The sequence below is a fragment of the Homo sapiens genome, chromosome 5 (assembly GCF_000001405.40).
Source record: "Homo sapiens chromosome 5, GRCh38.p14 Primary Assembly".
Classification (NCBI taxonomy): Eukaryota; Metazoa; Chordata; class Mammalia; order Primates; family Hominidae; genus Homo; species Homo sapiens.
The window spans coordinates 113,243,667-113,260,201 of NC_000005.10; the positions used below are offsets into that span (position 1 = coordinate 113,243,667).

At 41.3% G+C, this 16,535-nt stretch overlaps 1 protein-coding gene across 2 annotated transcripts in view, besides 1 other annotated feature; it reads right to left on the reverse strand.

Annotated features, from left to right (window-relative positions):
- Positions 1-16,535, reverse strand: part of MCC (MCC regulator of Wnt signaling pathway) — a 466,348-nt gene that overhangs the window by 221,561 nt on the left and 228,252 nt on the right. The gene's annotated exons all lie outside the window — the stretch shown is intronic.
- Positions 944-1,719: an enhancer, noted in NCBI's record as "H3K27ac hESC enhancer chr5:112580307-112581082 (GRCh37/hg19 assembly coordinates)". NCBI's record gives its function as "activates a minimal SCP1, AML or CMV promoter by ChIP-STARR-seq in naive H9 embryonic stem cells {active_cell/tissue: H9 hESC(naive)}" and the evidence as "EXISTENCE:reporter gene assay evidence [ECO:0000049][PMID:30033119]".

Below are 16,535 nucleotides of genomic sequence, written 5' to 3' on the forward strand. Positions count from 1 at the left end.
GTGTTTATCCTTCTTTCTGTTTAAAACCGGTCACTGGCTCAATTGCCTCCTGAACGAAGTTAGCAACTCCCAGCCAGGAGCTCAGGCCTTGAGGACGGGCTCATGGCTCTGGGACACACCTCTCAGGACTGCCCTCCGTTTGCCCAATGCTCTAGCCAAGCAACAACATGGCAGTTCTTAGCACACCTAGCATTTCCTTCTCTCTTTCCTTGCTTCAGCTCTGCTAACACCCTTCCTCTGCTTCTGCCACCCATCCAACACCCGGCTTGAGCCAGATTCAAATTTTGTTCATGGAGCCATGCAATGGATTGGAACATCAATATAGTTCAATACCCACCAACAGTAAACAGATGACAGGATCCATTCTACACTGCAGGCAAAGTCAACACACACAAATCTGGTTAAGATGTGTCTTTGGATAGCATACATGGAAATATCAAAATTATCTAAATCTACATAATTGATTCTAATAGATCTGGCTTCTCTAATAAATTTGTAAATGGGAACATGCCTCTCTCACCCCCAAATAGCATATGTAATGTGGATGTAATTGTTGGCCTCAGCTAATGATATATTTTTAACAACACAAGGAATGATCATCCATATTTTTATGAAATGTAGATCTGTAAAATAAATACAGTTAAATAATCTACAAGTAGGTTTACAACTTAAAGCCTACAGGGACAAATATATTTTGATCTTCCAATAGCTAACACTTTGAGCAAATGGAGGAAATACTCCAAATTATGTAATACTCTATATAATCTCTAGAGTTAGAATGAGAATGTGTTTAACATGTGCTCTGAAGTTAAGCCTATACATTATGAAACTTTAGACGTTCCAGCTTTAAAAATAAAAAATAACAGCTTTAAATAACATTTCTAAATACAACATTTGGTTACTAGGAGTCTCTCATGATTGAAATTTACTTAGCCTGAAAGATGAAATGTCAAACTCCAAATGGAAGGAAACAAAATTAGTGCAAGTCTGTATCTACTCTTCCACTAGAAAAATGGTTTCACTAAGTGAGTTTACTGATTTCCACTCTTGGAGGCTAGAAGTAAAGATAGCTAAACAATAGGAAGAGGTGCTTCCCTAAAGTAATTAAGAAAACAATGTTTCACTTTACTACTATCCTCCAAGCACCAGATCTATATATTTGTATAAGCACAGCACTACCCAAATATATATAAAATGAAAATCCACTATAACAAATTTGTCAAATAAAATCTGAGCTTCTCCACTGTTGTTCAGGCAGCAATACTGCCCACAAGTATGAGAAACTTAATATTGATTAGCCATTGTGGGTTAAAAATTCCACAGAAGTGCCATATTAAATCATTCGGGTAGCTTTTGCTTCTGGAAAGCACATTCCAGCACTTTGGGAGGCTGAGGCAGGCAGATCACCTGAGGTCAGGAGTTTGAGACCAGCCCGACCAATATGATGAAACCCCGTCTCTGCTAAAAATAAAATTAGCCGGGCGTGGTGGCATGTGCCTGTAATCCCAGCTATTCACCAGGAGGCCGAGGCAGGAGAACGGCTTGAACCAGGGAGGCAGAAGTTGCAGTAAGCCAAGATCGCACCACTGCATTCCAGCCTAGGCAACGAGAGAAACTCCATCTCAAAAAAAAAAAAAAAAAAGTAATACTTTTTTCCCACTAAGGTTCAACCCAACCTTGAGGGACAAACCAAAGAAATATCTTATGTCCTCTCTCTTGTGTTCTCCAAGTCATCTGTTTTTTTTTAACCCAATGAAATATTTTAAATATCTCCACAAGCCATAAACAACCTAACTGGTCAGGGAAAAAGGTAAGCAAAGTAGAATTTAGTCCTTGCCACAACCAAGCCTTATGTCCTTGAAGCAACCAAGGACATAAGGCCAAGAAGAGGTATGCCACCAGGATAATAGCAGGTTTGGAATCCACTGTGAGAAACAAAACTCCTGGTGATTAATTTTGAAACTGTGCTACCACCCTGTAACCTTCCTAGAGAATATAAGGCTTCTCAGTTTCAGCTTCTCAGTTTCAGTAATAAATGTCTGACAAAGCCTCATACTTTTATTTTCTCCGTTTTTCATCCCTTCCCCACAAATGATGGAAAATCCAAAGGAATCCTAGCCATAAAGAACTCATACTGTGACAATTTAAAACCCATTCAATCACAGCAACTGCCACTTTGAAAGGAAAAAAGTCACCAGGAGTAGGGGCCAACAATGTAATCAACATCTAATGGGATCAGAAAGTGTATGGAAGTCTGGGCTTCTCATGACACTGAGGCCAAGGAGAACAGTATTACTTCAGAGGTTTCAGAAAAAGATCTTGTTATAAAGGCTTTTGAGATAAGGTCCCTGCCAAAAATATTTCCCGAGGGGAAGATGGGGAACAAAAAAGAATAAACTCTTGGTAGAAAAGAGAGACATTTAGATTTAGTTATAAAAGATGGCTTACTAGCAGAGAATTTGATAAACCATGGAAGGACAAGAGCCTGTAGCCAGAATTTCAGGACTCCAAAACAAGTCACATTCTAGACATTTTAGGGTTCTGGAGGCAGTTAAAACATGTTTCCACTTGCTTGTGGAATAATCTCTAATCAGAGGTTCAATACAATGAGATCCCTACCCACTGAAATATTTACTTTTTAAATTGATAAGCTGAAAAGTTCATCTTTTTTAAAGCAATTTCTCGTGAAGTCTCATCTTGATTTAGAGGAAGAGGGAAGTAAAGGGGAAAAGCCTACCCCACAGAAAGAGGGGAAGTGACGTTACATTGTGAAACTTAAGGGAGGAATTTCAGCCACGGCTCTAGGGCGAGGGGTTGTGTAGGAGAGAAGGAATGGCTTAATTTTTAGGAAAACAGGAAAGCCAAGTGACTACTTTGGTGAATGCTGGAGGAATGGAAAGCAGCAGCGAATCCTATTTTGGATACAGAGGCTGAGAGCCAAGTAAATGAATCCCAGGCGGAGATACTGTCTTTTGTCTCCAGCTGTCAGCTTTTTTCTTGAAAACTGTCTCATCACTTTCTGTGATTGTGGTTAGGAAAAAATCCTACTTTATCTTGTGAACTTTTTATTGTCTTCCTGAAGTTATGTGTTACTTCTGTAAAGCACTCTACTCTCCTTGTTTAATCATCACAACAGGGAAGGGGAGAGGCTTGCAATGCAGTGTTTCCAAATCCAATCACTGGAGTCATTCACATAACATTAGGTTTAGGACCTGAGAAATAGATTCTGAGGTCACAGACCAGCCCCCTTTATATTTAAGCAGGAGGCAAAAACTGAAGCTAGGAGAGATCCGGAGTCTTGGCAAGGCTCTCTGCGACTTCCAGAGGCTTTCTTCACTCAGTCCACTGTTCGGTCCATTTCAGAGTCTGCTCTTTCACCTTTGTCCTCAAATGGTTTATGACAAAGGAAGGTGCTGGACACTGGAAAGGTAACGTCTTAAGACATGACCCCTGCCCTGGAGTAGTTTACACATATGGAGGAAGGTAGGGCGTATACTTGAAAACATAAGTGATAATATGATTAGCAAAAAATCCTACAGGAATCCAGAAGTGGGGGTTTCATCAAGGGGCAACTGACAAAAGCTTTGTGAAGGCAGGTGCATTCAGTGGAAAGAGTAGACAACTAAGGTAAAGACCATGTTAAGAAAGGGAGGGAGATGGGAGAACTATAGCACCCCCAGCACACAAAGGTAGACCTTGGAATGATGGCTCATGATACATTTAAGTCAACAGAAAACTAAGTGAAGAGTAAAGAGAACAAAGCAGGAAAACTACAGAATGCTTTCAATGGCAAGCTAAGGAATTGAGACTATTTTCTAGATAGTTACTAAAGATTTCTACTGGTAGAAATTTCTTCACATGGAAGTTTTAGTAGAAATAAAAGTGGTATATACAAGGCAGCGTCTTAAGGATCACTCTGGAAATACAGTACAAGGTGGACTGAAGAAGGGCTGGAGGCAGGGAAACTGAGAGGAGACTCAGCAGTTTAGGAATGAGGTGATGGGGACCGGTCCACAGAGGGACAGATGGATGTAACAAAGGACGTCCTAAAGGAAAAGTAAATGGGATTTGGCCATCTACTGGATGTGGAGCAATCAAGGCTCTCAATCTTCAAGTAGAGATGTATGGGAGAATGGTGTCACCATAACCAGAGGGAGGGATGATAGACGGCAGCAGGGGAGTGTATGGTCACCTATGAAGATATATCCAACAGCCATTTACAAGTCAGATGCTGAACTAAAGCCCTGGAAAGCCATCAGGAAGCACAGTGTTGAGAGTCGCCCAAAACCAAGAGCCTAACCTTGAGGGTGAATGAGATATCCAAGGAGTCCCAGATCTCAGCCTGGGGCACACTTCATAGTTAGGGGGCTGGAAGAAGCAGAAGTCAGGGAAGGGGGCAGAGAAGGAAAAGCCTCAAAAGGAAGCTAAGAATAAAGAAAGCATATATCCTGGTTACTCCAGGCTGACGTGGGAGGATTACTTGAGCCCAAGAGTTCCAGGTTACAGTGAGCTATAATTGTGCCACTGCACTCCAGCCTGGGTGTCAAGAGTGAGACCTTGTATCTATTTAAAAAAAAAAAAAAAAAAAAGATCACACATAAAAGAAAGGCAGGAGGGAGCTTTACAACTCAGTAGTACAGTATTAAATGCCCAAGGAATCAAAGTAACAGAACACAGAAAAACACACTGGATGGGGTTATTAGATCATGGGCATCAAAGCAGGTACTATGCTCAGTTTTATGTTACTGTCACTTCATTGCCTCAGTAAATATAAAAATAAATTTTATATCTGAGTAAAGTCGATACAGGATGAGCATCCCAACTTTGAAAATCCAAATCCAAAATCCAAAACACCTCTGGCCCCAGGCATTTTAGATAAGGAATTCTCAACCTGTATATGAAGAGTATATGAAATTGGCTGCTTCCCAAATTTCCCTAGTGTTGAAACCCCGGTTGACCCTCTAAATGCCAAGAGACATAGTTCAAGTCTGGTTCGTCCAACATATTCACCAAGAAGGGTCTTGAATAGCAAAGCTATTTCCACCTTCCTATCCCATGTTAACGGTAGGGTTTTGATATAAGATTCCCCTCAGCAGAAACAGGACAGAACAATGTTCCCTGGTTCTCAGTGCACATGCTGCATGTGCTCTCATTCTCTCTCTCTTCTTTTTTTTTTTTTGAGATGGAGTCTCACTGTGTCACCCAGGCTAGAGTGCAGCGGCATGATCTCAGCTCACTGCAGCCTCTGCTCATTGCTGCCTCCGCCTCCTGGGTTCAAGTGATTTTCCTGCCTCAGCCTCCCGAGTAGCTGGGATTACAGGTGTGCATCACCATGCCTGGCTAATTTTTGTATTTTTAGTAGAGATGGGGTTTCACCATGTTGGTCAGGCTGGTCTCGAACTCCTGACCTCGTGATCTGCCTGCCTCGGCCTCCCAAAGTGCTGGGATTACAGGCGTGAGCCACCGCACCCAGCTCTCTCTCTCTCTCTCTCTCTAAACAATTGATTGGACACCACACTGTCTGTGGATCCAGAAACAGAAGGGTGAGCTGATATGGAAGAAAACAGAGTCCCTGTTGTTTACTCTATAAAAACCATTCTCCTTGAAAGATGCCAATCACAACAGTATCAAGATCTGCTCAGAACCAAATAAAACACAGAAAGCTCAGGGGGTCAGCAGAGGGATGAGGACAGTGAGACTTACCAACTTTACTGAGATGAAGTCAGAAGAAAAACAATTCCTTATATCTCTGCATTGTGCAAGCTACATGCTACTCACTGTTTTCCTTCACAGCTTTCTGTGGAGACAAGATTTCCTTTTACGTCTGCCAAACATATGCCCTGTACCTATGTTGTGATCCCATTCATTCCAGCCTCTGCTCAGCTGCTGTTCCATTAGTTAATATTTTCTCTTCTGTGCCTCTTCTCTCCTTTCCTCTTGGCTCACCCCCCAAAAATAAGCAGGTAAATCTGGCTGTCTCTGTATATCTGTGTGTTTGGGGTGTATAAAACTCCACCTGCCACTGTTGGGTTTCAGGGCAGAGAGCAGAGCTAGTCAGAGCAGCATGCTTCATCTCCCTTTCAAACCTGCTCACCCAGGACCAGGGCAGGACAAATGTATCAGACAGACGAAGTTGGCCTTCAGGCCCCCTTATCCACTGCTCCTTACTCTGGTATCACCCTCTACCCCCACGCCTTTGGTTTTACCATCTACTTAACTAATTCTCTGTGACTCTAAGATTTGCCATGTTAATAGCCTCTTCAGACTCCAATGCACAGTTTCCAAGAAGCCAAAAAAGTGGCGGAGGGAAATAAGAAATATAATGCAGTATTTCAGGAACCACCACCAAATAAGAAGAAACATCTGAAAGGAAAAAAAACTTCCTTGGCATGCTGAAACCCAAATGGAAAAGACTGTCTCCCCATAAGGCCAGCTTTGCTTCCCATAGTGTCTGAGGTGTACTGCAAACAGCAGGAGTTGAAGATGGTCAGTGAAGACCCACCAATGACATAAGTCACACAGGGCACTCTGTCATTATCTCAGGGAAGGGGAGGCCAACCATTATGTCTGAGGACAGAGTCACCAAGGAGCATCTTCCTTAGGATTCTCACTCTGTAAAGCAAAGATAATGAGAACAAGTGACTGCTCAAACGTCCAACGTGGGAAAACTGGAAGATTGTTTAGTCCAACCTCCTCAGTTTACACAAGAAGAAAAGGAGATGTAGGAAAAACTTGCTCAAAGGTCACGTAACATGACGCAGGCAGAGCTGGGGTTAGAACCTCTGTTTCTTGAGTCATCATCCCAGTGCAGCCTGCTCCCACAGCACGCTGCCTCCCAACATCTGTTCCTTCACAGAGACATGTGCCTTTATAAATAATTGTTTTTAAAAAGTTACTCAGGTTACCAGACCTTTTCTGTGATCCTGTGTTCTTGTTATTGGAATCCTAACATCAATCACAAAATTATGTCACACGCTTCCTGAGGAGTGCATGGAACTGTTTGTGTAAGTGGTGTGGGGAATTCAGATCAAATATTCAGGGACTCAAAACTGAAGACAAAGACGGCCAATGCTGGAAAACGCATGTGGCTTTTTCTAAGGGGCTGAGTTCCAAGCATGTGTAATTCCACTCCCTCTACTTCCTACATTCTGATGACTGGAAATCTTGGGGTCAGTCCAAGGTCGACCTACACAAAGGGAACTCCCTAGGATAGCCTTAGAAAAACACAGCCCCTGCAACAGGTAAATTTAGGGTACATCATTCCAATAAACTGTCTTGCCTGACAAGGTTCTCTGTAACAGGTCACACAAAGGATTTATACCTTTTCCTTACTGACTTAAGAGGTAGAGAATTTATCCAGAGGGGTTTCTTAAGGTCCTATTTTAACAATACAATCAAAAGTGTTCTATTTGGCCTCACTTTTCCACACATCGTAACTGTTCACAGGAAAATAAAGTCACCCAGTCTTCTGGCTTACAAACCTCAGGCAAATTCTACTTCTCACACCACCACCTTTGCAAATGCCATATGTACTAACTGTATTGTAAGAAATATTTACATCAATCTGGCCAAGCCAAAAGGTATTTTCTTCCATAACTTTAATTAGCACTGTCTGCGTTTTTTTAAGTTGGTATTGCCTACATTTGATTTCAACTGTTAGAATTCATGTTTCCATTTCTCCCATTCATTTGTGCTTGGAAAAGGAATACCACCATAATGTGTACTATGATAAACTTTAAGATACAGACAGCTTTTCTGATAGTTGGAAATCTCTTGCAGTGTGATCTCTATAGCCAGGGTGACAAACACGGGACTAAGGGGCCTGGCAGGTAACTAAATGATTCAGGAGGGCAGCAGTAAGTTCACATATAGATCTGGACTGAGGGATAGGGGCTGTGGCCTCGTGGAGAAGGTACAACCCTTCAAAGCTTCTCATACTTACCCCATTACCACAGTGAGGAAGACTGTTCTAGTTTTGCCAGATCTTCTGACTTCTCAAAAAAGGCGATAAATTCAGAGTTTGGGGAAGTCTCAGTTTTTAAAAATGTTAACTCAAGTTCAAAACAAAACAAAATACTGAGCCCAAACATGCCTATGGGCTGCTGTACTTGGCTGCTGAGTTTCCAGTTTGCTATCTCTCCTCTATAGGAAGTGGGAATGATGCATATTCAACGACGCCTACAAAAATTACTTCAGATTGTTAGTCTCAGAAACCCACTGGTGGCCTGAGGGGACATGCAAAAAGAAGAGGAACAGGAGCAGAGATGGCAAATTATTAAGGTTTCAAGACCTTAAAAGAGACAATCAAAGTATTCAGATTCTCAGTAAAATTACCAGATTAAATCAAATAAAACCCCACCCTTTTTCCACAAAAATCAACAGAGAGTCCTGCTTTCTTTTCACCACAACCCTATTCCTCCATTTATCCCTGACGTCCTGCCAACACCTAACCAGTGGCTAGATCCTGTTTACTTCTTAGTGGAATTATCTTGATCAAGCATGTCGGCCCTTCATTCCCATCCCATTATCTTAGTGTAGAGCCTCCCCATTGCCTAGACCACAAGGGTCCCCAGCCCCCGGGCCCACAGATCTGGTACGAGGCCGCAAAGCAGGAGGTGAGTGGTGGGTGGGCGAGTGAGAGAAGCTTCATCTGTATTTACAGCTGCTCCCCATCACTCACTAACTGAGCTCTGCCTTCCATCAGATCAGTGGTGGCATTGCATTAGATCTTCATTAGAGCATGAACTCTATTGTAAACTGAGCACGTGAGGGATCTAGGTTGCAAGCTCCCTGTGAGAATCTAATGCCTTATGATCTGTCGCTGTCTGCCATCACCCCCAGATGGGACAGTCTAGTTGCAGGAAAACAAGCTCAGGATTCCCATTGATTCTGTATTACAGTGAGTTGTGTAATTATTTCATTATATATTACAATGTAATAATAATAGAAATAAAGGGCACAATAAATGTAATGCACTTGAATCATCCTGAAACAATCCCCTACCCACTCCACCACCCAGGTCCATGGAAAAATTGTCTTCCAGGAAACTGGTCCCTGGTGCCAAAAGATTAGGGACTGCTGGTCTAGACCACTGTAGTTGCTATGGCACCCCCAGACTCCAGTTTCTATCTCCTCCCACCTCACTCCAAACCTAGTCCATACTATAACACAACAACCAAAATGATTTTTCTTAAATGTATATGTCATAACCTCTCTGCAAATATGCAGGAAACTGCTAAGAGCATTTGCTTCTTGCAAGGGAACTGGCGAACATGGAGAGTGGGTTCAAGAAAGCCTTATTTTCCCCTGCATGCCCTTCTGTACTTCTTGAATTTTTATTATGTGAGAATTAATTTCTCAAAAATGTAATTTTAAAATATGTAATACCCCAGGGCTTCTAGATTAAGAAGCAAGACATCTCCCTACCCCAACCCACTGGGGCACATAAATGGACTAAAGATTCGTATAGGTCAGATGAGAGCATACTGAGAAGTAAACCACAGCAGAGCTTGGGACACATGCAGGTGGAAGGCAAGAATGGAGGTGGAAGTTGGCAGCATCTGAGATTAGACGTACAGAAACTGAAAGGAGGGTACATCTGCAAAACTGCCTGCAGGATGGTAGCTTAGCATGGCCTCCTTTTCACCAGCCTATCAGGGTGGTGGCACGGTTGGCCCCTAGTCTGAAGTCAAACATCTACCTACTCTCCAAAGGGAGCAAGTGATCTGCCAGGAGGGACTTGCAGACCCTGGTGGGGATCTCTCCTCTGGCATTGTGGGAACCTCTCCCCATCCTGCTTGCTTCACCTTGACACACCCTAAAGTGAAACCTGCTCTTTGACATACTATGCCCTCAATTTCAGAGCTCACAACCCATACTCCTAGTGAAAGAAAAGGCCAACAGGGGCAGCAGATGAGCACAAGGAGGAGGGAAGCTAAGTCAGCTGCTACACATCCTTCAGGCATCCATATGGATAGGTAAGCAAGGATGACTACATATGAAGAAAGCTGGGGAAAAAAGATAAATACGGAAAAAATGAAACCGATCCCAGAGAAGACAGAGATCATAACTCATGGAGCTAAAGCAGAAGAGAATTTTAGGGGGAAAAACATCTGAGTGTGGTCAAAGATATTAGAAAACACAAAATACATATATAAAACAAAAACATCCATATAGAAAAGATTGCATATTGAAGTTAAAAATTCATTAGAAAGGATGAAATGATAAAAGAATGATGAAATCCCCAGAAAACTGGGTGAGTGGAAGGAGGAAAACAAAAAAGTTTGGTAGGACAATTTAAGAGTAAATCCAGGAAGCCTAACATCAATCTACTGAACCCAAGTCTTCAGATTGGAAGAGCCCACAGGTGCTGAGCAGAATAAAGGAAAAAAGATTCTCATAAAATGTCACAATATCTTGATAATGAGAAAACAGAGTCTCCAAAGAAAGGTCCATCAAAGGTACGAGGGTCAGTAGCATTGATTGGTAGAGAGAAATTCTTTCAAATGCTAAGGGAAGATTATTTTAAACTCAGAATTTCATATCCAGCCAAATTACCAATTAAGCATGAGGACGGATAAGCAGAGGCTCAAAGTATACTTGCCATGTACTGTTTCTGAAAACTTACTTTATAATATACTCCAGGAAAATTAAAAATATGTCTAAGAAAAAGGAAAATAGAGTCCAAGAAAAGTAGAATTAAGCCAAGAATAAAAGGAAAATAAATGTCAGCTGTTCAGCAAGTCCTGAAAGCAGTTAGTTCATAACGCATTCAAAAAGTTTGTATAATCAAGAAAATAAATTATAGTTTTGAGAGAATGAAGACAAATATTACTTCTGTAAATGAGAAAACAGGCAATTACAAAGTCCAGTAAGAACAAGGCTATATAAGAACATCACAGCCCATACGTAAAGCAAACAAAAGTATGCCATGATCCTAAGCCACTAACCAAATGTAAAGAGAATTTGACCTAGATGCCCAGAACACCTCTGTTCAAGTGGCCTATGCTTGGTTAATAACCTAGGATTCCATCTTTATGGTGCATTTATATTTTTGATACCACTTTGAGGGAGTGGTATTGGAGCCTCTGGATCCAACCAACAAAAGCAAACCATCTCCTTGGATTTTCCCAATCTAAGAGTGTGAAAGACACTGTTAGTTCCCTGAGTAAACCTCCATTTCCAACCCTTCTCCCTTGCCTGCCTCTAAGATGTACCTTAAAAACATAAGAGTGGGCTGGGCAATCCCAGCACTTTGGGAGGCCGAGGTGGGTGGATCACCTGAGGTCAGGAGTTTGAGACCAGCCTGACCAACATGGTGAAACCCCGTCTCTACTAAAAATACAAAAATTAGCTGGGCGTGGTGGCAGATGCCTGTAATCCCAGCTACTCAGGAGGCTGAGGCAGAAAAATCGATTAAACCCAGGAGGTGGAGGTTGCAGTGAGCCGAGATTGCACCACTGCACTCCACCCTAGGTGACAAGAGCAAAACTCCATCTCAAAACAAACAAACAAACAAAAATAAGAGCTATTATTCCCCCACCCCTTTTGCAATCTGATCACAGTGAGAGCCGACATGTGAGCCAAAGTCCTCGAGGAGGTTTCCTTTATAAATAAAAAGGCCAAGTCTTGCTAAGAAGAAAGTTTTGCAATTTTTCCTTCCCTGTTTTTCCTATGAAAGCCACATATTAAGAATGATTGGACAGAAGGGTAAAAGGTCCAAAATGAATTCCATGAGTGCCTGTAGCAGCCTTTGGGATCAGAAAACTAACCCCCATATCTACTTAAGACTTCGGTTGCATATTTTTTTGTTGTTGATGGGGAACACATTCCTTAACTGAAACAAGGAATTGGTTTCCTATTCTGAATGAAGCCCAGTTTGATTTGGGTTTCTGTCATCTGCAAGTGAGAAAGATCTAACTAATATATATCTCCTTCTTTACACTCTGCTCCAGAGGAGAAATATTAATAGCCTGTCAAAGACCAAATCTTTTACCTTCAGCCTTAGGAGGAATATGCTGGGTAGGTTTCCCACAGAGCTTTCACTTAAATATTTACGTGGCCCCAACCACAGGCTAATCCCTGTGGTTACGTGGGACACTAGGCTAAACAAGCCACCACATTTGCCCTCCTGGACCCCAGTAAAACAAGGGCAGAGAGTTTACAAATGCATAAAATGCTGCTTGGAGTGTAGGACTACGTTATGCAAGCACAGCAAAGGGAGTAATTTAGATCCATCTGGTAGTATTTCCAAACCTAGCAAATCCTAAAATCCAAAAGCGCTTATTTGATCTGATTCAGCCACATCAACATTTTTATCCACCAACAAACTCTTATTCACTGAACAATGGCACAGATGAGCCAAAATAATATTTGCTTTGAATGCATTTATATTTTAAATTGGGTGTGTCCCTTGTTCCGAGAATTCACCACACCCCAAACAAATTGAATCCAAATGGAAGGTTCTAATTCAGAAGAAACCAGCACATAGTTTAGCTGCACCAACCCTATCTCTTTAGTAGAGTGATTCCTGGTTCTGTTTCTATCCAAGAGGAGAGGTAGGTAACACCACTACTCTAACTGAATTGAAGCCTATCCTCATCCCAGCACTGCTTATTTCATTCATTGAACAATATTAAATGAGTATCTACTATATCAGATACTCTGCCAGGTGTTGTGGATATGCCAGAAAAAAGAAAATACCTGCCCTCAAAGGGCTTATGTCTACTGGGGCCAGCAGGCATAAGTAGAGGGTTCAGACAGGAAAGAGTCACCAAGCTATTACAACATATTATACTGAGTTTTAGAAAAAATAAAACATAGCTGGAGTGGATTCTCTAAACAGAGGGAACAGTGTATGCAAAGGTCTAGAAGCAAGATAAAACATGGCATATTCAAGAAACGTCAAGTTCAATAAACTTGCCTACCTATATATTAGGTAGACAGCTGTAGCATTTACTTGAAATGTGTATGTTTGATGAGGAATATAATGAGTCCACTTCTGGACATGTTGACCTTGGGAAGCCTGAGAGACATCCAAACTTAAGAGCTATCTGGCCGCTGCAGACACTGCTACCTACCTGCCAACCTGATACAGATACTTGGCATAGCCTCAAATCTGAGAAGAGTCACTGTGGCCTTCAAACCTGGGTTAATGCCAATTTTTGCTTTATTTCCACACCATATCAGATTTTTGCTTACTCTGCAGAAAGTGCTAGTAAAGCAAAACCCATAAACCATTCTGAGGGCCAGATTAAAACTCTCCTTGAGTTCTCCAAGGTGACTAATTTCAATTCTTATCTTTATAGGAAAAGAATCTGGCAGGAGGTCTGGATGGTTACTAATCAGTTATCACCCTTCCATTACATCTCGTTGCACCAAGTGGTTGTCACAAATTTGTCTCCTTTTGTGTTTTCCCCTCTAACTTATCAGTGAAGATTAGCAGAAGTTTGTGGTATTGAAATTTGTAGGCAACTGAGGATTTCTGGGGCTAAGCGTGTTCATTTTTAAGGTCCATGGGCTTTTGGCATATACTCCAGGTACCACTTCTGGTCATCCTGGCCCAGTCTGGTGTGTGGGTCCAGAGTTCAGGCTGGTGACAGATTTGGGCATCATTACTAAGGTTGTCATGAGGCTGTGCAAACCTCTAGAGAGTACAAGGAAATCAGGAGAGAGAGGTCAAAGGGAGAACTCCAAGGAACCCAGGAATAATGGGGCAGACGGAGCAACAGGAGACAGGAAGGAAAAACTAAGAGGACAGAAGGACTCCAGGCAATGAAAGCCAAGGTGAAGAAGAGGGAGCAATCATTCAACAGAATCTGATCAGGAACAGAGAGTTTAAGTGAGAAAGAGACTGAGAAGCCTATTAAATAAGGGGTCTTTGTTGACCTTGGAGAGAGAAGTGGGTTGAGAAGGGAAAGAAAACTGAGGACTCAGACAAGAGGTACAGAAAACCCTTCAGAAAGGCTGGCAATAAATAAGCTACGGATAAGAGGAAGAAAGCAGTAGCTAGGGCCGCGAGTGCACAAATGGATATGCATGGGGGTGTGGGTGCTGGGATGTGGGTGTGTGAAAGAAGAGTTTTAAATACATTTAAAGGCTGTTGGGAAAACGTCATTAAAGAGGGAAAGCCTGGAGACTATGGAGGAGAAGTGATAATCAATACCACATGTTCCCGAGGGAGGGGAAAGCGTTCTATCTAGAGCACAGGTATAGAAACCAAACCTCTTCCATTACGGGAGGGAGGACAGATGGATAGATGGTAGCAGTGCAGAAACTTGCAGGTCTGGTGACAAGCTGAGGAAGCCACAACTCAATGGCTCTCCATAAAGCAGGAGGCCAGAGCATCTGCTAAAATTGAGAGAAGTGAGCAGAATTGAGAGAAGTTGAATGAGGGTAGAGAAGATACCAAATAAACATTGTGAATGAGAGAGAGCTTCCCAAGGCAGTTTTTCAGTGAGCACATTGCAAGGGGTCCTGAAATCAATACTTTTTAAAGAAAGGAATTAAAAAACCAAAGTACAATGCTTATAGGAAAGACAAACATTGTATATAATAACATTAATATAACATGTGCTTATGTGTATACTGAATTGTGATGTAAAAATGTTCTTTCTGTGGGTGGCACTCAACATATTTGAATGCCAACAGACTAGAACAAATAAATCACTTATAACAGGGGGTCCCCAACCCCTGGTCTATGGACCAGACTGGTACTGGTCTATGGCCTGTTAGGAACCAGAGCACACAGCAGGAGGTGAGCTGCAGTCAGCCAGCATTAACGCCTGGGCTCCGCCTCCTGTCAGATTAACCACAGTATTAGATTCTCATAGGAGGGGGAACCCTATTGTAAACTGCACTGCAAGGAATCTAGGTTGCATGCTCCTTATGAGAATCTAATGCCAGATGATCTGAGGTAGAACAGTTTCATCCCAATACCATCCGCCACCCCTGCCACTGTCTGTGGAAAAATTGTCTTCTGCGAAAGCAGTCCCTGCCAAAAAGGTTGGGGGTCACTCACTTAGGAGAACTGAGGTGAGGGTGGAAATGATTTTAGTTTGTGGTGGCAGTAACCATCATTATGGCTTATGCTTTACACCTACCCTAAGTTAGAAGAGGTAATTAAGTTTAAATGCTCCTGTTAAATGCTGTGACTCAAGAAGAACACATAAAATATATAAAGTAATATATCTTATCACTTACTTTACTTAATTATGCTAATTAAATCTTTTAAAGTAATTTTACAGTAAATTAACAGGCTATACAAGAACAAGGTCTGTACTACTCCGACCACATAATTATGCTTTTTGCTATCCATTAAAATTCTTACATCAAAAGCTCTTTAAGTGATCTATTTAACTTGTAGATGTGTGTAAAAATGTTAAAAGGTGTTTTATTTTAAACCCACCCATATTTTTATAATTTACAACAGCAAAATGCAAGACAAAAAACACATAACCCTATTATTGTTAAATACTCTCTCATAACTGAAGGCAAATCCCTTCTCTTAGAAAGGTACTTCTCCAACTTCTACAGGAACCAAAGTGACTCCATTAGAGAGGAATGCATTTATTTGCCATTCTCAGTCATTTGTGAGATGCCCCATTGTTACAGATGAATCCCAATTCAAACAGTCAAAAAATGAACATTGCCATATTCCTCATTTTGCCAAATACCAATTATTATTCAGAGACCAAGATAATCCCTCAAAGTCATTCAGCCCTAAATTCTAATCCCATAAATCTGCTTTATGGGTTAGAAGAAAGCCTTTGAAAATACAGTAAGTCAGGTAATAGAGTCTACCACACCCCTAAGTCATTTAACAGACCCATTATCATTTACTAAAGAAAAAAAAATTAATTGGAAAGTATTTTGCTCTTAATGTGCTTCAGAAATTATTTGCAAATATAGCTGTGAAGTCTACTTTGTTTATTTCCAGTAATTAAATTTGGTTGCAGCAGAGTGCGGCCAGGAGAAGCACGTGGCCATTATTTTTCCCTTTAGGGTGATTCGAACTCCTAGAACATGTTAACCCATTTATGCCTAGTGTTCCATTATTGGAACACTAAGCTTGTGGGAGTTATTTATATACTACTGCTCAAGGTCATCGCCAAGATCTGATTTATCACACACACAAAAAATTTGCAACCTCCAGCATAAATGGGTTAATTTTCATCATAACAAAAATGAAGCTATTTTATATGTGTCACACTGTACTAGGTACCACAGAATGCAATATTTTTCTCAGGTAAGTGTTTATTTCTTAAAAAAAGTCAAGTCAACCAAAATGTACAAATAAGCTCAAACTACAAAATGACTCTAGAAAAGATGAACAAATTTGTTGATTAACAAATATTACCTTTCCATGTGGCCTGCATTCATTATAAATTCAAGAGAATCAATGACATTCAACTCTGGAAAAAAAAAACTCCTTAAACGCAGAAGTTCATCTAACTCAGCAGTATTCAACTTTTTGTTTTCAGGATCCGTTTACACCCTTAAATTACCAAGGACCCTAAAGAGTTCTTGTTATGTGG